This window comes from Homo sapiens, chromosome 8 (genome assembly GCF_000001405.40).
Source record: "Homo sapiens chromosome 8, GRCh38.p14 Primary Assembly".
Lineage (NCBI taxonomy): Eukaryota > Metazoa > Chordata > Mammalia > Primates > Hominidae > Homo > Homo sapiens.
The window spans coordinates 141,242,799-141,264,291 of NC_000008.11; the positions used below are offsets into that span (position 1 = coordinate 141,242,799).

Here is a 21,493-nt window from a genome sequence, read left to right on the forward strand (position 1 = left end):
GGGGAGCCCATCTACCACCATCCTGGGTTTATACAAACACCGCGGGAAGCTGAATGTGGACCTGAATGTGTATCCCAGGCCACGCAATGTGGTAGGAGGCTATAGAATCTCTCACAAGAGGCGACGGGATTTTCAAACCTAAGCCAGCCCGTGTGCAGCGGGGAGCCGGCAGGGCGAGGACCCATCTACCGGGTGGTGACAGAGAGCTCCACCTCCAAGACTTTGCTGGGAGCCACAGAAAAACCTGCTAGAGTTGGGAGTATTACTCCTGCTCCGGGGTCCCTCCACACACTGTCAGTCCCCCTCTGAGCACCACCTTGCAGCAACCTGTTTCCATGACTGTCCTCCCCACCGGGCCACCAGAAAGTCAGGGGGACCCCATGTCTGCCTTCTGTGTCCCAAGACACTGCATGTGGCTCAGCAGGTCCTCCAATGTCGGAGGGAGGGCAAGGTTTGAGCAAGCCTACACAGCGGTGTGGGGATGTGACCGAGAGCAGCTCCGCCAGGTGCCCCCCGCCGCAGCAAGCACGAAGCGCAGTGGCATCTGTGTCAATGGCGCTCTCATTCCCACAAACTAGAAAGGCTTTTTAAGAACAGGAAAAGCCGTTCCTTCCGCTGTCAGAAAAACAAAACCACTTGCCATCAACCATACTAAACCTGAAATGACATTTGCCAAAAACCTTTCAAGATTTAAATACAGGCCGGGTGCAGTGGCTCACACCTATCATCTCAGCACTTTGGGAGGCTGAGGCAGGAGGATGGCTTGAGCCTAGGAGGTCAAGGCTGCAGTGAGCCGTAATCGCACCACTGTGCTCCAGCCTGGGCGACAGAGACCCTGTCTCAAAAATAAATTAAAATACAGTTGACCCTTGAACAACGTGGGTTTGAACTGTACCGTCCATTTACACAGATTTTCTTCCGCTTCTGCCACCCGAGACAGCAAGACCCCCGCTCCTGATCCTCCTCAGCCTACTCAACATGAAGATGAGGATGAAGGCCTTTATGACGGTCCACTTCCACATAATGAATAGGAAATACATTTCTCTTCTTAATAATTTTCTTAGCTATGTTTTCTTCAGGTTACTTTACTATAAACATATAATACATATAATATAGAAGGTATGTGTCAACTGACTGCTTATATTATTGGTAAGGCTTCCAGTCAGGAAGCTGTTGGTAGTCAGGTTTTAGGGGGAGTCAAAAGCTACACATGGATTTTTGACTGTATGGGGAGTTGGCACCCCTAACCTGAGCTGCTCAAGGGTCAGCTGTATACCCAACTGCCCTCCCAATCAACTCGGCTACTTGGGAGACTGCGCCCCTATTCTTCATGGTGCGCTCCGCCTGTCCTGAGGTCACAGGAGGTTCTGTCTCGGGCACAGTGCTGACTGGTAACACCTGGGTTTGAAAGGCCTCTTCCCTGCCCTGCCTGCAGGAGGTTCCCCTGTGCCTCCTCCAAGCGAGCAGCTCCAGATGGAGTCCAGCCCATGCCTGGGCCGGAGGCAGAGTAGCCTCCAGCCTCCTCCGGAATGTAATACATCAGCTTCTGACCTGGGACAGGAGCATGTGGCCATATGAGGCATCCAAGGCAGGTCAATTTCTCCTTCATCAGCAAGTCACTCGTTCAGTCCTGCAAGTCTTTGTTCCACACTGGGCATGGGAACAAAGGTGAGTTGGACCTTGTCCTTAGGGGATGCACAGTCTAGGAGGGAGAGGGCAACCTTCAGGAACAACGGGTGGAAAGACAGGGCTGCAGGGGGTCCTGGAGCACATGTGAACACTGAAGAGATGCACACACTGTGGAGTGCGTTGAGTGGGAGCATGCAGAGGGGCCAGGCCAGGCGGATGTGAGCAGTAAACAGCTGCAGAGACAAGTCTGGCCTGGAGATGGGCTGTATTTCATCAAATCCAAGATGCCACCATTTTCGAAAGCACTGCTCTCTCAAACATACTGAATGTGACAGACCCTGGAGTTGTCCAGTGTGACACCGACGGGGCTCAGGACGGGACACACACAGGACAAGAGTGAGGGAGGGCAGAGCCGGAAACCAGGCCCACTCAGCCCTGTGCGATGGGAGACAGGGCCAGCACCAGGGCCCAGAAAACCTCTGAGTTTGGAAATGAGGACATCCCTGCGCATTCAGCAAGAAGACGTGGGTGGGGGGGGGGGGCGGTGTGGAGGTGGAGGCTGGGCTAGAGTGGGGTGCAATGAATGAGGTGCAAACTGCCCCACTGAGTGACTTTTCCACAGTAAGTGTGAGGCAGGCCCTCGACAAGTTACCACCAAGGCTGCTGACTACGAACCCAAGTGGAGAAAAAGATAATGACAGTAATAACAGCTAACAATTACAGGCTCTGTTCTAAGCACATCATATGTGTCAACTCTGCACACGTTTCCAGAAGAAAGGAGATGCTGGTATCTGCTGAGATAAGTAAGGCTACACACTTGGAACATGGTCGATTTTTGGATTCTCCAAGAGGAGCCAACATTGGGTTGCTGGCTGCTGCTACCTCCACCACCACCGTTTCGAGGAGGGACAGGAAATCTCTGTCACTTGAGCAAATAATGGAAATGAAAGAGAAACCAGAAACAGGACTTGAATCATCATCATAAAGGAAAGTGTTAATTCATCACTCAACGAACAATGGGCCTTCCGCTCCATCACGTCTTCTGTCCAGGGTTCCCAGAGCCCCCTTTACTGCTTGCCTCCCCCAGGGCTGACCCGGGGGGCAGCCAGCAGAATCCCAGAGCATCAGGGACTCCCAGGAGACCCCAAAATCTGGTCTCAGCATCATAAGCACACCAAAGTCACCTGATGGCAGACAACTCCCAACCTGCCGCTCAGAGGAGGCTGGACTCTTAGAGCTAGATGGGACTCACAGACCCTCAGCGTGTCCCAACCCCAGACCAGCCTTAGGCCCAGGAGTCAAGGGCAGGGGGAAGGGAGGGGCCTCCCAGGGGCAGCAGCACTGTCTGCCAGCAGCATCGCAGGCAGTGTCACCACTAACTTCTGAAGAAGATAGCACACTGCCTGGGCTAAGGATGGTGCAGGCTGAATTGCTTTAGGAAACTGCCATCAAGGGCCACCTCACACACACGGGCATTAGCTGGCTGCTCCTAGATTCCAAACAACTCCTCTACTGATGCTGATGATGGCAGAGACTGAGCTAATTTGCTTCTCACAGCTTCCAGTTTGCTGATTTTCAAAGGGAAAGTTTTCTTTGGGGAAGAGAGAAAGGGCAGACTTGCTATTGCTTGATATTTCAAAACGAGTTACAATCTAAGGTTTCTGCTGCGATATTTATCAATACAAACATGCTGCTTCTGTAGTACCTTCGTACCCCTTCTACCAAGATGAGGATTGAGACAACGGGAAAAATTCCAATGTACCCAAAGTTATACAGGGGGAAGCAGTGCAAAGAGTCTGACAAACAGAATATTCTGAGCACGTGTACTGGTTTCCTGCTGCTGCGTAACAAACTGCACACCACCCAGCGGCACCGAGCAACAGTGACGGCCACATACCTCCTGCGGCCGGGAATTCAGGCACAGCTCTGCGGGGTGGCTCTGGTTTGGGGCCTCTCACAGGCTCCTGGACTGAGAGCCTCGGCCCTGGGGGTGTTGGCTGAGGCCTCCTGCTCAGTTATTTGCCATATGGGTCTTTCCAAGAAGGCAGCTTGATTCATCAAGATGTGCAGGCCAAGGCAGCAACAGAGAGGGTCTCCCAGCAAGGTGGAGTCACACGTTTGCGTCAGGCGACATCCCCTCGATGCTGCCATATTCTATTGGTTAACAGGAATTACTCAAGGGGAGGGCATTGCACAAGGCCGTGAAAGCCAAGGGGTGAAGGTCACGGGGTCACACAGAGGGTATCTCAGGGGTCTCTTAGAGCCTCTTTATACTCCTCCCTGACCCCTCTGTGTAACAGCAAATTTATTAGAAATGAAACCATTTCTAATAAATGATTTTATTAGGAAAGAAAAATATAAAAAAACCAATGCTATAAGCTTCACCTTAAGAAACTAGAAGAAGTAGCCAGTTGTGGTGGTGCACACCTGCAATCCCAGCTACTCAGGAGGCTGAGGCAGGAGGATTGCTTGAGCCCAGGAGTTTCAGTCCAGCCAGCCTGGGCAACACAGTGAGACACCATCTAATAATAGAAAAATAATAAACTAGAAAAAGAGCAAATTAAAACCAAGTAAGCAGAAGAAAACAAAATGAATATAAGAGCATAAATTAACAAAATAGAAAATAAACAACAGAGGAAAAAACCGAATGAAGCTGAAAGCATAGTCTTTGAAAAGACCAACAAAATTGATAAACCTTTAACCAGGCTGATCAAATTACCAATATCAGGAAAGAAGGAACATCAATACAGGTCTTACAATTAAAAGTTACTGGAACTACTAAGTGAGTTTGGCAAAATTGCAAGGTATAAGGTCAATATATAAAAATCACTTATACTACTCTATAGAACGATGAACAACCAGAAATGGAAATTAAAGCAGTGCTATTTACAATAACATGATAACAATGAAATACTTTAAGTATGTGACGGACCTACATACTAAAAATTATGAAACATTCCTAGGAGAAATTAAAGACTTAAGTGTGTTGAGAAGATATATTATGTTCATGGATCGAAGGACTCGAAATTAAGATGTCAATTCTCTATAGATTCAATGCAATTCCAGTAAAAATCCAGCAGGCTTTTTGTAGAAATTGATAACTCTAAAATTTATATGGAGATGTGAAAGAACTGCAACAGCCAAAACAAGTTTTCTTTTTCTTTTTTAGAAACGAGGTCTTGCTGTGTTGCCTAGGATGGTCTCGAACGCCTGAGTTCAAGCAATCTTCCCGCCTTGGCTTCCCAAAGTGCTGGGATTACAGGTGTGAGTCACTACGCCTGGCCCAAAACAAGTTCCAAAAGGTAGGCATATTTCCTAATTTCGAGATGCCCCATAAAACTACAGAAATCAATCAATCGTTGTATCAGGAACAGACATATAGATCAATGGAACAGAATAGTGCCTAGAAACAGATTCACAATATAGGTAGCCAGTAAATGCCAACAGAGGTGCCATGGATTTCAATGGGAAAGGACAGGCTTTTTACAAGTGATGCTGGAACAACTCAATTTCCACGTGCCAGATGGAGGGGGAATCCCTCAACTCTTACGGTATACAAAAATTCACTCAAAATGGATCACAGACCTAGGTGAGAGAACTACTGAGGCATCTAGAAGGAAACATAAGGGAAAATCATTAAGACTTCAGGCCCAGGAGTTGAAGCTGCAGTGAGCCACGATCACAGTACTACACTCCAGCCCAGGCAATGCAGTGAGACCTCCAGCTCTTAAAAAAGACTTCAGGTCAGGCAAAGAGTTCTTAATTGAAAAAGAACAAAAAAGAACATATTTGATACACCAAATTTCATCAAAATTTAAAACTTTTGCTTTCTGAAAGATACCATTAGGAAAATGGAAAGGAACCTGGCACAGTGGCTCACGCCTATAGCCCCAGCACTCTGGGACTCAGGCAGGAGGATCACTTGAGCCCTGGAGTTCTAGACCAGCCAGGGCAACATAGTGAGACTCCATCTCCCTAAAAAATTTAAAATATTAGCTAGGTGTGGTGGTGCGTACCTACAGTCCAAGCTACTCAGGAGGCTGAGGCGGGAGGATCACTTGAGCCCAGGAAGGTTGAGGCTGCAGAGAGCTGTGATCACACCACTGCATTTCAGCCTGGGAAACAGAGTCCCTGTTTAAAAAAAAAAATAATAATAAATAAATAAAAGTGGCTCATGCCTGTAATCCTAGCACTTTGGGAGACCAAGGTAAGAGGATCACTTAAGCCCAAGAGTTCAAGACTGGCCTGGGTGACATAGCAAAACCTCGTCTCAATAAAGTGTAAGAATATATAAAAAAACAAAACAGGCTAGGCCTGTAGCTCACATCTGTAATTACAGCACTTGGCGAGGCTGAGGTGGGCAGATGGCTTGAGCCCAGAAGTTCGAAACCAGCCTGGGCAACATACGGTGAAACCCCATCTCTACAAAAAATACAAAAATTAGATGGGCGTGGTGGTGCACACCTGTAGTCCCAGCTACCTGGGAGGCTGAGGTGGGAGAATCAGCTGAGCCCAGGGAGGTCATGGCTGCAGTAAGTTGTGATAGTGCTGTGGCACTCCAGCCTGGGTGACAGAGTGAGACCCCATCTTAAAAAAAAAAAAAAAAAAAAGACATGCAAATTAAAGCTGCAATGAGATATGGTTCACACCCACTTCGATGAATGAAGTTGAAAAGGACTGACAACACTAAACATTGACGACGATGTGGAGAAATGGGAACTGTCCTACGCTGCAGTGGGAATGCAAGATGGTACCGTCACCCTGGAAAGCACTGGACCCAGCAAGCCACTCCCAGTGAACCACTCATGAGAAATGAAACACATCCACACAGAGCCTTGCAGGTGAATGTTCACAGCAGCTTTATTATCACAGCCTCCAAAATGGAAACCACCCAAATCTCTACCACCTGATGAATGAAAACAAATGATGGCAGGTCCATTCAGTGGAGTACTAGTCAGCACAGAAAAGGAGCAAAGAAAGTACTGATTCATGCAGTAACGGGGATGAATCAGAAAAGCATTATGCTAAGTGACAAGAGCCAGACCATACGCTGTGTGATTCCAGTTACATCAATTCCCGAACAGGCAGCACCATGACAACAGAGGCAGGCTGGTGGTGGCTGGGGGCAGCGGGGGCTGATGTGGGGGGCATTTGGGAGCACTGGGGTGATGAAAATATTCTAGGTCCTAATGGTGGCAGCCACACCACTGTGGACATCTCATGCCAACTGTCAAACTGCCCGGAGTGAAGGTAACAGTATTTCCAAATCCAATCATAAGCACTGTGGCTCTGGGTATGGACAGCAGACAACTTTTGAAAGAAACTCCAACTCCGATCAGGGAAAACTTTGGTCACTACGTTGCCCTTGTAAGTGTCATTTCAGTCAAACTCTGAGAAATAAATTGGGCCTTTTGTTGTCTGGACTCAATCTAAGCACGTCTAAGAACAAACTCATTAAAGCCCTGTTCCTATAACCTGTAAAAATACCTTCTATTCATGATTCCTGCTCTCCTGCTGAACACAGACCAGGGCTTACAGTTTTACGTGAACTCTGTAATGCTCAGGGTCAATAAAGGTTACTTTCATCTGGTGAGGGTCAGTTTGCCACAGCCTAACCACTTACTACAACTCTCCCCATTTCAGTCAGCATTTCTGGAGGTTTATATGGAATCTATGGAACAGACACCCCTACAACTTTGGAAAGCGACCTTCAATATGCACTACATATATTGTGTAGTAAAGTACATACGCAGACAGGTCCTGGGCTTATGATGGTGGGACCTATGATTGTTCAACTTCACACTAACGTGAAAGCCATACACATTCACTTGAAACCATATCTTGAGTCCTCATACACACTGGTTTTCACTTTGAGTACAGTATTCAATAAATTACACAAGATCTTCAACACTTTATTATATAAAATAGGCTCTGTGTTACATGATTTTGCCCAACTATAGGCTGGTGTGAGTGGTTTTTTTTTTTTTTGAGACAGTGTCTTACTCTGTATTCAGGCTGGATGATCATGGCTCACTGCAGCCTCCATCTCCCAGGCGCAAGCAATCCTCCCACCTCAGCCTCCCAAATAGCTGTGATTACAGGTGTGCACCACCACATCCAGCTAATTTTTTATTTTTTGTAGACACGGAGTTTCACTATGTTGCCCTAGCTGGAACTCCTGGGCTCAAGTGATCCTCCCACCTGGGCCTCCCAAAGTGTTGGGATTATAGGCATGAGCCAGAGTGCCCAGCCTGATGTGAGTGTTCTGGGCATGGTTAAGGAAGGTGAGGCTGGACTATGACGTGCGGTGCGGTAGGTGTGTTAAATCCATTTTCGACTCAAGGTATTTTCAACGATGGGTTTACTGGGACATACCCCCGTTGCAAGTTGAGGAGCATCTGTATTTGTCCTCCTAAATTATCTAAAATCTATACAAGTCTTATGTAATAAATAATCAAAACAAAACAATGAAACGTGCATAGAAATTGAGACTCACCATCTATAAAGTATGAAAATTCCAAGGTGTTGTGGAAGTATTAGGGTTTTCAAAGCCACAATACACATCATCTGCCATAGAGAAAATTAGGGAAAAGCAGTTCCTAATGACTCTTTATCACATCAACTTATTCTCAGGAACCGGAGGTTCTAAATTTTGTATTTGTCACCACGACCACAACTCGTTGTCCAGAAACTGAAGGATGGTGCCCAATTGGTAATTCCAAGCGCCTCAGCTTTGTTATGACAGTGCTTTCATGATTAGCTCGGTGCCAAGTCCTCACATACTGAAGGGACGAAATAAATGTTTAGTAAAATTAACTGCTACCCAACTTCCCCCTGGCTAAGGTCTAGTCGCGAAAGTGGTTCTTCAGTTCCACGAACACAGCCAGGTCTCCCCTCCCTCAGCCTCTGGATGTGATGCCCAAGAGCCCTTGCCCTGCTCTCCATGAAGGCCTTCCCACACTGGTCCAGCCCATTTCTTTCCCTCGCTGGTCGGGTCACTTTCTTTCTCGAAGCGCCCCCCCTGCCACAGAGCTAAGCCCCCTGGCCCACAGATGTGGGTTCTGTCCACCCTCCGTGCCCTAGGATATGATAGGCACCCAAGGAGCACAAGCAGAATAAATGCAGAATCACACACAGAGGAGAGAACAAGAGTGCGAGCTGCGCCCGGTCTCCTACGTCCGAGCCCCCGACCCTCCAGAAGAGTCCTCTAACCTTGTCTGAGCCCCAGGTCCTCTGGCCTTCTCATGAAGCCTTCTCAAAACAAGGTTTTTAAAGATGAAAAAAGACACAGGATTGCAGACGGAAAAGCACGCTGAAATACAATCATGGAAGCACTGGAAAAGTAAGATGAGTGCTTTTTCATTAATGTATTAAGTGACAAGATCGAGGGATGGACACAGTATCTCCTGTGATTTTGGTAATAATCAGCATCAGCTCCCACGGCAGGGTGACAGGAAATCAGTGCTGATGCCAGCGGGGCTGCCCCACACACAATCAAAGAAAATGCTACGATTTCACACTGGAGTCAGATCCGTGCACATAACCGAGGGATCCGCACTGCAGCGAGGCTGAGTGAGCGCTCACGGAACAAGAAACACTTTATTATGTTTGTATCAACAAACATCCCTAAAACAACCAAAATAAGTAGGCTTGAAAATACTTTACCATGCAATATGTTGAATTCTAGAATAAAACGGATGCTTCTAAACTGTCTGCCTCTTACCAGATACCTTATATTGCTAAGGGTTTGGAAAATGACAGATTTTTTTAAAACTTCCTTAGGTCATAAAGAAAATAAACATTCTGACAAAATTTTTAGGGCCCAAGACACTCCCAGTGGGGACTCCCTACAGGGTCCCCGCTCTGCTGCCCGGTAATCTGGAAGAGACACCACATCTTGCCCATGCGAGCCTGGTCATGCCAACCTGTGCGTCTCTGTTAATTTCCGTGTTTTCACGCCCACCTGCGCGTCTGTGAATTTCCGTGTTTTCACGCCCACCTGCGTGTCTGTGAATTTCCATGTTTTCACGCCCACCTGTGCGTCTGTGAATTTCCGTGTTTTCACGCCCACCTGTGCGTCTGTGAATTTCCGTGTTTTCACGCCCACCTGTGCGTCTGTGAATTTCCGTGTTTTCACGCCCACCTGCGAGTGTCTGTGAATTTCCGTGTTTTCATGCCCACCTGTGCATCTGTGAATTTCCGTGTTTTCATGCCCACCTGCGTCTGTGAATTTCCGTTTTCACGCCCACCTGTGCGTCTGTGAATTTCCGTGTTTTCACGCCCACCTGCGTGTCTGTGAATTTCCGTGTTTTCATGCCCACCTGCGTCTGTGAATTTCCGTTTTCACGCCCACCTGTGCGTCTGTGAATTTCCGTGTTTTCACGCCCACCTGCGTGTCTGTGAATTTCCGTGTTTTCATGCCCACCTGCCCGTGTCTGTGAATTTCTGTTTTCATATCCACCTGTGTGTCTGTGAATTTTCGTGTTTTCATGCCCACCTGCGTGTCTGTGAATTTCCGTGTTTTCACGCCCACCTGTGCGTGTCCGCGAATTTCCGTGTTTTCACACCCACCTGTGCGTCTGTGAATTTCCGTGTTTTCACACCCACCTGTGTCTGTGAATTTCCGTGTTTTCACGCCCACCTGCGAGTGTCTGTGAATTTCCGTGTTTTCACGCCCACCTGCGAGTGTCTGTGAATTTCCGTGTTTTCACGCCCACCTGCAAGTCTATGAATTTCCGTGTTTTCATGCCCACCTGCGGGTCTGTGAATTTCCGTGTTTTCATGCCCACCTGCGTGTCTGTGAATTTCCGTGTTTTCATGCCCACCTGTGTGTCTGTGAATTTCCGTGTTTTCATGCCCACCTGCGTGTGTCTGTGAATTTCTGTGTTTTCATGCCCACCTGTGCGTCTGTGATTTTCCGTGTTTTCATGCCCACCTGTGCGTGCCTGTGAATTTCCATGCTTTTGGAAATGCCTGTCTCTGAGCCATCTACTGTCCACAATAACCTTGGATTCAAGTCAACAGCAACAATGATAAGATGACAGCATCTTCCAGTATCTCCCACAGCCAGGCACTGTTCTAAGCACACCTGGGACCCTCTTAGGGTTGGTTTGCGAATGCAATCACTTTACACACAAAGAATCAGAGTGTGGCACAGAAGGGCTCCCGAATTCGCCTGCATGACACAGCCAGTGACTGTCAGTGCTGGCGACCCTGCCCTTTGCCTCGTTGTTCACTGTGGCCTGGCAGGGACAGCGGGAGAGGTGAGCCCCGGCCGAGAGCCAGTACTTATCAGTGCCAATTCTGCCCCAGATGCTGAGCTACCACTTTGCCAAAACTGTAATTCAACGTCAACATCCGAAGATCACTCCTCCCCAAACCTGGCTGAAAACAGGAGACGAAAACCACCATCAGGGCAGGCTGAAGGGAGAGGAGACAAAGACTCCAGTGCCCGGGGCTCTCCAGGACGCACCATCCTCTGCCTCCAGAGGATCAGAGCCACGCCCAGTCCGCTAGCACTCCGCTCAGCGTTCACTGCGCACAGACGGGGAGGAGACTTACCAATCTGCAACAGTATTGGTGTGACCAGAGCGGTTTCCATGGCGTAACAGAACTCCCTGCCAAACATCACCGCCCCGTGCATCACCCACAGGCGCATGGGGATTCGGTCTATGGACCCCTCGCTGATGGTCTCGCAGTTCTCGGCCTCTGCGCCTCCGGCTTTCTGCGGGTCCGGCAGGGGCACGGATAACTCTTGAACTTGCATAGATTCCGGGTCGGCATTCTGCGGAGCCATTTTCATTACCACCAAAAATATATGTATTTATCTATATATTCTATCTATATAAATAATGCTTTCATATATCTGTAATGATAAATTAAGACGTCTTCTCTTTCTGCTTCTGCTGTGTTCCTCGGGCAGGTAACACTTACATTCCTCTTTGCACAAGTGGCTATCTCACAACTTCTCACAACGGTATGAGACATGCAGCAACACAGAACGATTTTTGGTTGGATTTTAAACATATGGCTTGCTGGTTTACTGTGAATTAGAGTTAAAAATCCATAATTGCCATTCAGTTAATACCAGTTTCATCATTATTACTGAAGAGGTGCTGAAGTGATTTTTCTTGCTACAGAGAGGTGGGAAGGTGATACAAACAGGTGGTCCGCTGGTAATCCCCATCGAGTGACTGGATGATCTGCAAAAGAGGAAAACAACCCGGCCAGAGAGTCAGGGGACGGCCACCAGATGGCCCTGTGGACCGCCGCCCGACCCCCGAGCAAGCCGTGTGCCCCGAGGGCCCGACCCAAGATCACACAGCTCTCTGCCACTCACTCTGGGTACGTCTGTGCAAATAACCAAACCTACTTTCTAGAAAAACATTTTCTCATACGAAAGTGAATCCTGGGGAAGGACAAAGGTGGGGCAATCAAGGAAAGCAGGATCAAAGAACAGACAGAGAAAAACGCTGGAAATATTCACTCTTTGGCCAGTAACAATATCGTCCACCCTGTGTACCACAGCACGTAACTATTCCAGCAGGCTGGAGGCAGCTGGCGACACCCTTTGTGGCTGCAGATATCATGAAAGGGAAGTAAGGAGGTGAAGGGAAAAGTGGGGGAGGTAGGCAAAAGAGAATCAAAAGGGAAAACTTTTGTTTAAAAAAGTTTAATTTGTTAGTGACAAGGTCTCGCTCCGTTGCCCAGGCTGGAGTGCGGTCACACGACCATGGCTCTCTGCAGCCTCAAACTCCTGGAATCAAGTGATCTCCCACCTCATCCTCCCGAGTAGCTGCGACTACAGGCATGCACCACTACACCCAGCTAATTTTTCTAGGGTCCCCATTACATTGACCTGGCTGGTATCCAACTCCTGGGCTCAAGCGATCTACCCTGCCTCGGCCTCCCAAAGCACTAGGATTTACAAGTGTGAGCCACCGTGCCCAGCCAAAAAGGGAAACTGTAGACCCTGCCTGGAGAGGTGGAAATTAAAAATAAAAAGCAGCTGGGCACGGTGGCTTAAGTCTGTAATCCCAGCACATTGGGGGGCTGAAGCAGGTGGATCACCTGAGATTAGGAGTTCAAGACCTGCTTGGGCAACATGGCGAAAGCCCATCTCTACTAAAAATACAAAAATTAGCCAGGCATGGTGGCGGGCGCCTGTAATACCAGCTACTCAGGAGGGTGAGGCAGGAGAATCACTTGAACCCGGGAGGTGGAAGTTGCAGTAAGCTGAGATCGCACCACTGCACTCCAGCCTGGGCAACAGAGTGAGACCCTGTCTCAAAAAACAAAAACAAAAACAAACAAACAAAAAAAACAAAAAGAAAAGAAAAATGAAAAGTAGGAGGCTGGGTGGAATGAGCATAGCATGATTCTCTGTCCGGGGGGAGTTCGAAGTCTACCCAAAGGCACCTGGACTCCTGTGGTATTGGCCTTTAGGTTATAAAACCTCTTGGGAATAAAATGAAATTATAGACCTTTTCTCCAGAAAAAAATGTACGCATGTGCCAAACTCTGACTATAGTACCTAGGGGTTCGGAGACTCCCAACCCACACGCAGCTTTCCCAGGGTCTACGGAACCCTATCACCCCAACCCTCGGCTTTCCACCACCCTGCCTCCAGTGACAAACCCAGCTTGGTGACAAATTCCCCACCTGGGCAAACACATACAATAAAGCAGCAATAAGCTAACTGGAAATGCCACCTTGGAAATGTTTTAGGAAATGAGGTCAATCTCTCCTCAGGTAAGATAAGATCGGGGATGTGGAACACCCCAAGTTCAGGACTTCTGGAGTTAGGTCTCCAGACATGGGGTTCGGTTCAACTGAAGTGTTAGAGCCCCTAAAAACACACCTAAATGGTGTTCACAGTTTATATTAAGGTAGGTCTATGGGCCAATACCTTACTGAGAATTTTTCCAACAACTGGTTTCAACAAAAATATTTCTCATTACTTTCCACCGAACCAAAGGTGGTCTTAATTAGCTCCTCCTCTCTTTCTCCCCAGAGGAGACCAGAAACCTCGAGGTGCTGTCTTCACTCGGCTCCTCTCTCACACAGCCCTGATGGAGAAGGTGGGTCCCTGGCACGTGGGCCCCAGGAGGGAGAAGACTCCGCTGTACAGGAGGTTCTGGAAGGAAGCCGTGCGCCTGGCTCTTACGTCCCAGCTCTTCCCTACATCTTCTTTCACGCTGCAGCGGAAACCAGAATGCCTACTAATTCCTTAAGAACCAAAGGTTCAAGTGGTGCTACCTATGTATTTGCTTCTTACGTCCCCTGAACGTCGCTACGATTCCACACGACAGCCCTCGAGAATTCTTTCAAGTTTTCCAAATGTCCTCTACCGTAGAAACATCTCAATTAAAACAAGAGTTTCCAAACTGTCACCTTACTGCAATATTTTTTCAAAAAACTGTGTAATGAAACTTTTTTTTTTTTTTGAGACAGTCTCGCTCTGTTGCCCAGGCTGGAGTGCAGTGGTGTGATCTCGGCTCACTGCAACCTCCGCCTCCCAGCTTCAAGCGATTCTCCCGCCTCAGCCTCCTGAGTAGCTGGGATTACAGGCACATGCCACCACGCCCAGCTAACTTTTGTATTTTTAGTAGACACAGGGTTTCACCATGTTGGCCAGGATGGTCTTGATCTCCTGACCTCATGATCCACCTGCTTCGGCCTCCCAAAGTGCTGGGATTACAAGCGTGGGGCACCACACCCAGCCAGAACTATTTCTAACATATGCAAAGTAAACAGAATAGTGTAAGAAACCACCCAGGTTTAATAAGGACCAACATTCTGCTATTCTTGTTCCGCCCCCACCTTTTCGGAATCATTCCTAACAGAAAATTTCACGATTTTCCCTGTTTTCAGTCTGTCAATCTTGTACCAGAATAGGGTCAATGATTTTAACTGCTTTCTTCCACCAGGTAAGAAGAGTCATTTTTGTGAGAAGAAGTAACACCCAGACATGTCTGCAAAGACTGAAAACATCAGCTGGGTTTTGGGCAGGAACAAAAGCAATTAGTTTTCTAAGAAATCCTAATGACTTAATTATAAACATCAGACCCTTCATGCCTGCTCAATCGGCTCTTTGTCCCATTACAGTGTCCTCGGAGACTTGTGCCTGAAGTGAAGCCGTCTCTGTTCCTAAGAGTCGTTCCAGTAAGAGCTGAGAGTTAGGCAATAAATGTCTGTAATAAGTAATATATGAATTATTCTAAGGTAGTGATTCTCAGCCAGGGGCAACTCTGCACCCTCCAGGGACACTTGGCAATGACGTGAGACATCTCTGCTTGCGACAACAGGGGGAGGAGGGGACAGTACTGGCATCTTATAGGCGGAGGCCAGGGATGCCTTTCAACTCACCACAGTGCACAGAACAGCCTCCAGCAGAGAAGGCCCTGGCCCAGAACGTCAACAGCACCAGAGGGAGACACTCTGTTCTAGGGTTATTACTAAATAGGAAAACGGCTTTCTTTAAAAATGCTTCACCCCTTGATTATTCCATTCCGAGTCCACCGACAAGACCAGACACTGAAGCTTTCTCTGTAAAGCTGGATGATGAACATTTCCGGGATTTCGGGCCACAGATGGTCTCTGTTGTACATTCTCCTTTTTTGTTTCTTCTTCCTTTTTTTTTTTTTTTTTTTTTTAACAATCCTTTAAAAACACAACACCTATTCTTAGCTTGCTGGTCATTCTTGTAAATCCCAGCTCTGCGCTGGATCTGCCCCCTGGGTCACAGTTTGCTGCCCTCCGGCCTGGCCTAGGGTCAGGAAGTCGCCAGAGTCTCTCTAACAGGAAAGAAGGCGACGGTGGAGCCCTGCTTGGCTCCCACACCCCCCAGCCTCACTCTGCTCCGTGCCACCTAAACTGTCCAGTCCTGACTTAAACGACCCGAGGCCAGGAGTGTAGGTGGCAACGCTACAGGCCATTCCTTTCCCAAGCAGCTCAGCTGCGCTCCAGCCAGTGGTATTTCTCAGCACCTTGTTTGCAAAGAGCAGGTTGCATAAGAATCACTGATGAGCCACAGAGAAAAGCCCCAGGCAACCATCGGCCTCTCACATGGAGCATGGACTCCAACCTTGGGGCCACAGGGATGGCCACCAAAAGGTCTCAGGGATCAGCTAAAGACTCATTCAGCCTGTGCAACAGTCAGACCCGTTTTTCAAAGACAGCATGGTGGTGCACACCTGTGATCCCAGCTACTCCAGAGGCTGAGGCAGGAGGATCGCTTGAGCCCAGGAGTTGAAGACCAGCCTGGGCAACACAGCAAGACTCCATCTCTATAATTATTATTATTATTTTTTAATTAGCCAGATGTGATGGTATGTGCCTATAGTCCCATCTACTCAGGAGATTGAGGCAGAAGGATTGTTTGAGCCCAGGAGTTCAAGGCTGAAGTAAGCTACAATTATGCCATTGAACTCCAGTCTGCGAGACACAGTGAGACCTCTTTTTTTTAAAAAAAAAAAAAACAGACTCTAAAACAAGATGTCTTTTTACCTGGGAATAGCTGAGGATTTCAAAAAACTAAGCCCTCAGGGAGCAAAGGCCCTGTGTCCTTAGTAACAGAGTCACAAGTCCACAGAAGGACAGAGTGGTGCAGGAGCGCTCCCTTGACATGGAAAGTCAGCTGCCTCACTGGAGTTCCTCTGACATGTTGGGGCTTTCCTAGCAAACTTCTAACAACTGGTGTAAAGTTGGCCTTCCAAAGAGAAGATGAAAAGGAGGGAGACCAGCATCTGGGTGGGAAAGGCATCTAGCCCACACTCCCAGAGTATCCGCATGGCCACGGTCAGGGCAAGCCGCCAGACACCGCTGCTCAGCAGGCTGAGGGGCCAGCAAGACGGCTTCACGCCTTGGGACACTGCTGACCCAGCCCGCCAGTGATGGCGCTGCACGTTCAGCCGTGCACACAGGCCCCACCTCAGGCCCCCCAGCTCCAGAACCATGCCTGGGCAGTGCTGCCCATTGGTCGAGGGATCACCCTTCGGAGCAGGCTGCCTCTCCGCCAGCCTGCACCCTTCCGTCTCTCCCCTGAGCTTGGCTCTGCCCACACCACCGGCCATGCATCTCCCTTGCCCTTCCCATGCATCTCCTCTTGCATCTCCTCCCGTGCATCTCCTCTTGCCCTTCCCACCTTCAGCTCAACCACCCTGTTTTTAGAGACTCTTCTCAGGGCTCACTGGACCCCTTTAGAACGGGTGATCCCCATCTTGCACAAAGGATTATGACAGCTACTGGTAGGTGGCAAAACCCTGCCAAGCAGTGAGAGAAGCCCCCTCAAGAGACCCTCATCCCCCGCTTTCATCTGTCCCCAGATCTCCCAGCATCGGTCCACAATGGGCAACGTCCATGCTTCTTGAACCTGGGCTTTCCCTTCCATATGCACCGTTTCCAGCCACACAGCAAGAGCTTGACAAGATTTGTTAAATGAACAAATGAAGCGAATGAATGAATAAGGCTGATCAGCTGATAGTTACTATGGGGTATCTGCACTGGAAAACCATTCCCCACCCCACCAGCTATGCTGAAGTCACGCCCAGGTGCCCCGGGTGACCAGCCACCGGCTTATGCGTCCCTGAAGTCCTCATGAAACAGCATGAGCATGGCACCGGTGTCACCTGTTACGCAAGTAGTCTACGCATGGACACAGCTGGCTTCCCTTCCTCAAGCAGGGCAGAGGCAGGGGCACAGTACACGGATTTTACACAGGTGACCTCACTGGCATCTATATTGATGAAAACAACAAATATCTTTAGACATCTTGAGTTTGTTTAAAGTAGCAGTAAGTACAAAAATCTACCAAATGTCTCATACCTTCATGAACTTATCCAAGGAATGTTATCAACCTAGGGTGTTAACACCAATGCAAGCTTCCGAGCTTCTAAGAGCAGGCAAAGTTGAGGCAACTGTCCAAACAGTAATCTTAACAAGGCTAAATTAACCACTACAACAACATCACCTCATGTTAACCAACCTTAATTTCCTCAAAGATATGCACCCATTGGACTAACCCAGTTTTAAAGTGAGTATCTTGAAGACAACACCCAACAGCTCACAGCAGGATGCCACCTGGTGCAGCTGCTGCTTCCAAACATTTTATTTCTGCAAAGCCCTGGGGATTCTGTAAGCACTTTAGGGGAAGTCAGAAAATAATTTAAAAATAAAGTTTAAAACTAGAAAATCTAGAAGAAATGGATAAATTCCTCGACACATACACCCTCCCAAGACTAAATCAGGAAGAAGTTGAATCTCTGAATAGACCAATAACAGGCTCCGAAATTGTGGCAATAATCAATAGCTTACCAACCAAAAAAAGTCCAGGACCAGATGGATTCACAACCGAATTCTACCAGAGGTACAAGGAGGAGCTGGTACCATTCCTTCTGAAACTATTCCAATCAATAGAAAAAGAGGGAATCCTCCCTAACTCATTTTATGAGGCCAGCATCATCCTGATACCAAAGCCTGGCAGAGACAGAACCAAAAAAGAGAATTTTAGACCAATATCCTTGATGAACATTGATGCAAAAATCCTCAATAAAATACTGGCAAACCGAATCCAGCAGCACATCAAAAAGCTTATCCACCATGATCAAGTGGGCTTCATCCCTGAGATGCAAGGCTGGTTCAACACTCGCAAATCAATAAATGTAATCCAGCGTATAAACACAACCAAAGACAAAAACCACATGATTATCTCAATAGACGCAGAAAAGGCCTTTGACAAAATTCAACAACCCTTCATGCTAAAAGCTCTCAATAAATTAGGTATTGATGGGACGTATCTCAAAATAAGAGCTATCTATGACAGACCCACAGCCAATATCATACTGAATGGGCAAAAACTGGAAGCATTCCCTTTGAAAACTGGCACAAGACAGGGATGCCCTCTCTCACCACTCCTATTCAACATAGTGTTGGAAGTTCTGGCCAGGGCAATTAGGCAGAAGAAGGAAATAAAGGGTATTCAATTAGGAAAAGAGGAAGTCAAATTGTCCCTGTTTGCAGATGACATGATTGTATATCTAGAAAACCCCATCGTCTCAGCCCAAAATCTCCTTAAGCTGATAAGCAACTTCAGCAAAGTCTCAGGATACAAAATCAATGTAGAAAAATCACAAGCATTCTTATACACCAATAACAGACAAACAGAGAGCCAAATCATGAGTGACCCCCCATTCATAATTGCTTCAAAGAGAATAAAATACCTAGGAATCCAACTTACAAGGGATGTGAAGGACCTCTTCAAGGAGAACTACAAACCACTGCTCAATGAAATAAAAGAGGATACAAACAAATGGAAGAACATTCCATGCTCATGGGTAGGAAGAATCAATATCATGAAAATGGCCACACTGCCCAAGGTAATTTATAGATTCAATGCCATCCCCATCAAGCTACCAATGACTTTCTTCACATAACTGGAAAAAACTACTTTAAAGTTCATATGGAACCAATAAAGAGCCTGCATCGCATCCTAAGCCAAAAGAACAAAGCTGGAGGCATCACGCTACCTGACTTCAAACTATACTACAAGGCTACAGTAACCAAAACAGCATGGTACTGGTACCAAAACAGAGATATAGATCAATGGAACAGAACAGAGCCCTCAGAAACAATGCCACATATCTACAACCATCTAATCTTTGACAAACCTGACAAAAACAAGAAATTGGGAAAGGATTCCCTATTTAATAAATGGTGCTGGGAAAACTGGCTAGCCATATGTAGAAAGCTGAAACTGGATCCCTTCCTTACACCTTATACAAAAATTAATTCAAGATGGATTAAAGACTTACATGTTAGACCTAAAACCATAAAAACCCTAGAAGAAAACCTAGGCAATACCATTCAGGACATAGGCATGGGCAAGGACTTCATGTCTAAAACACCAAAAGCAATGGCAACAAAAGCCAAAATTGACAAATGGGATCTAATTAAACTAAAGAGCTTCTGCACAGCAAAAGAAACTACCATCAGAGTGAACAGGCAACCTACAAAATGGGAGAAAATTTTCACAACCTACTCATCTGACAAAGGGCTAATATCCAGAATCTACAATGAACTCAAACAAATTTACAAGAAAAAAAACAACCCCATCAAAAAGTGGGTGAAGGATATGAACAGACACTTCTCAAAAGAAGACATTTATGCAGCCAAAAAACACATGAAAAAATGCTCATCATCACTGGCCATCAGAGAAATGCAAATCAAAACCACAATGAGATACCATCTCACACCAGTTAGAATGGCAATCATTAAAAAGTCAGAAACAACAGGTACTGGAGAGGATGTGGAGAAATAGGAACACTTTTACACTGTTGGTGGGACTGTAAACTAGTTCAACCATTGTGGAAGTCAGTGTGGCGATTCCTCAGGGATCTAGAACTAGAAATACCATTTGACCCAGCCATCCCATTACTGGGTATATACCCAAAGGACTATAAATCATGCTGCTATAAAGACACATGCACACATATGTTTATTGCAGCACTATTCACAATAGCAAAGACTTGGAACCAACCTAAATGTCCAACAATGATAGACTGGATTAAGAAAATGTGGCACATATACACCATGGAATACTATGCAGCCATAAAAAATGATGAGTTCATGTCCTTTGTAGGGACATGGATGAAACTGGAAACCATCATTCTCAGTAAACTATCGCAAGGACAAAAAACCAAACACCACGTGTTCTCACTCATAGATGGGAATTGAACAATGAGAACACATGGACACAGGAAGGGGACCGTCACACGCCGGGGACTGTTGTGGGGTGGGGGGAGGGGGGAGGGATAGCATGAAGAGATATACCTAATGTTAAATGACGAGTTAATGGGTGCAGCACACCAACATGGCACATGTATACATATGTAACTAACCGGCACATTGTGCACATGTACCCTAAAACTTAAAGTATAATAATAATAAAATTTTAAAAAAAGAAGAAGAAAAAAGAAATAAAGTCAACATAAACTGTGAAAAAATAAATAAATAAATAAATAAATAAAGTTTAAGTGTTTACTTAGAAAATCAAGGGTCATGGCCGGGCGCAGTGGCTCATGCCTGTAATCCCAGCATTTTGGGAGGCCGAGGCGGGTAGATCACGACGTCAGATCAAGACCATCCTGGTCAACATGGTGAAACCCCATCTCTACTTAAAAAAAAAAATACAAAAATTAGCTGGGCATGGTGGCATGTGCCTGTAATCCCAGCTACTGGGGAGGCTGAAGCAGGAGAATTGCTTGAACCCGGGAGGCAGAGGTTGCAGTGAGCCGAAACTGCGCCACTGTACTCCAGCCTGGGCGACAGAGCAAGACTCCGTCTCAAAAAAAAAAAAAATAAAAATAATAATAAAAACAAAAAGAGAGAGAAAGAAAGAAAATAAATAAATTAATTAAGGGTCCTATCACCTTGTCAAGGAGTGGCTATGAATACCGAAAGATCTAGAGGGTGGAACTGCAGGGGACAGCACACAGAGAAGGCCATGGTGACCCGGCCCCAGCACTGGCCACTCTGAAAGGAAAGCTGGTGGCCTCCGGGTTGGTGCCAGAAGAACCAGTCTGAGTATTTCTTCAGTTAAAGGGCCAAGGCTGAAGGACAGGTTCCTGGGTCCACAGCCCATGGGAAAGGTACCAGCAAATTCTGATACGTTTAAGAACGCAAGAGCATGTCCCGGTCAGGAAATCCATGTAACAGGCTACTGAATGTTCAACCCAGATGACAGCTCCCAGTGGAAAACTATGTGGGTCCGTGTGAGGCCTTGGATCCATATGCTCGAGTGTGGTGTGAGTCAGGAGCCACTTTGCATCTCCCGGTGGCCCTCTGGGTGTTGCAGTATGATTGATCT

General features: G+C 47.0%; 1 protein-coding gene and 1 long non-coding RNA gene across 21 annotated transcripts in view, besides 3 other annotated features; one reads left to right on the forward strand and one right to left on the reverse strand.

Annotated features, from left to right (window-relative positions):
• SLC45A4 (solute carrier family 45 member 4) overlaps positions 1-21,493 on the reverse strand; it is a 101,115-nt gene that overhangs the window by 35,625 nt on the left and 43,997 nt on the right. For 17 of the 20 annotated variants that reach the window (NM_001286646.2, XM_011517171.3, XM_047422002.1 and 14 more), the window contains one exon: positions 11,191-11,831. The exons of the other annotated variants lie outside the window; for them this stretch is intronic. In NM_001286646.2, coding sequence (NP_001273575.1) covers positions 11,191-11,431 — 241 coding nt within the window. In that variant the 5' untranslated portion in view covers positions 11,432-11,831. The remainder of the gene's footprint in view (positions 1-11,190; positions 11,832-21,493) is intronic. 20 annotated transcript variants of the gene reach the window in all.
• Positions 2,483-2,652: an enhancer, noted in NCBI's record as "active region_28052". NCBI's record gives its function as "activates an Ori minimal core promoter by ATAC-STARR-seq in GM12878 lymphoblastoid cells {active_cell/tissue: GM12878}" and the evidence as "EXISTENCE:reporter gene assay evidence [ECO:0000049][PMID:35858748]".
• Positions 3,519-4,199: an enhancer, noted in NCBI's record as "H3K27ac-H3K4me1 hESC enhancer chr8:142256416-142257096 (GRCh37/hg19 assembly coordinates)". NCBI's record gives its function as "activates a minimal SCP1, AML or CMV promoter by ChIP-STARR-seq in naive H9 embryonic stem cells {active_cell/tissue: H9 hESC(naive)}" and the evidence as "EXISTENCE:reporter gene assay evidence [ECO:0000049][PMID:30033119]".
• Positions 11,769-14,019, forward strand: SLC45A4-AS1 (SLC45A4 antisense RNA 1). Its single transcript, NR_161376.1, has 2 exons — positions 11,769-11,973; positions 13,643-14,019. It is a non-coding gene; the product is annotated as an SLC45A4 antisense RNA 1 (long non-coding RNA).
• Positions 15,454-15,975: an enhancer, noted in NCBI's record as "H3K4me1 hESC enhancer chr8:142268351-142268872 (GRCh37/hg19 assembly coordinates)". NCBI's record gives its function as "activates a minimal SCP1, AML or CMV promoter by ChIP-STARR-seq in naive H9 embryonic stem cells {active_cell/tissue: H9 hESC(naive)}" and the evidence as "EXISTENCE:reporter gene assay evidence [ECO:0000049][PMID:30033119]".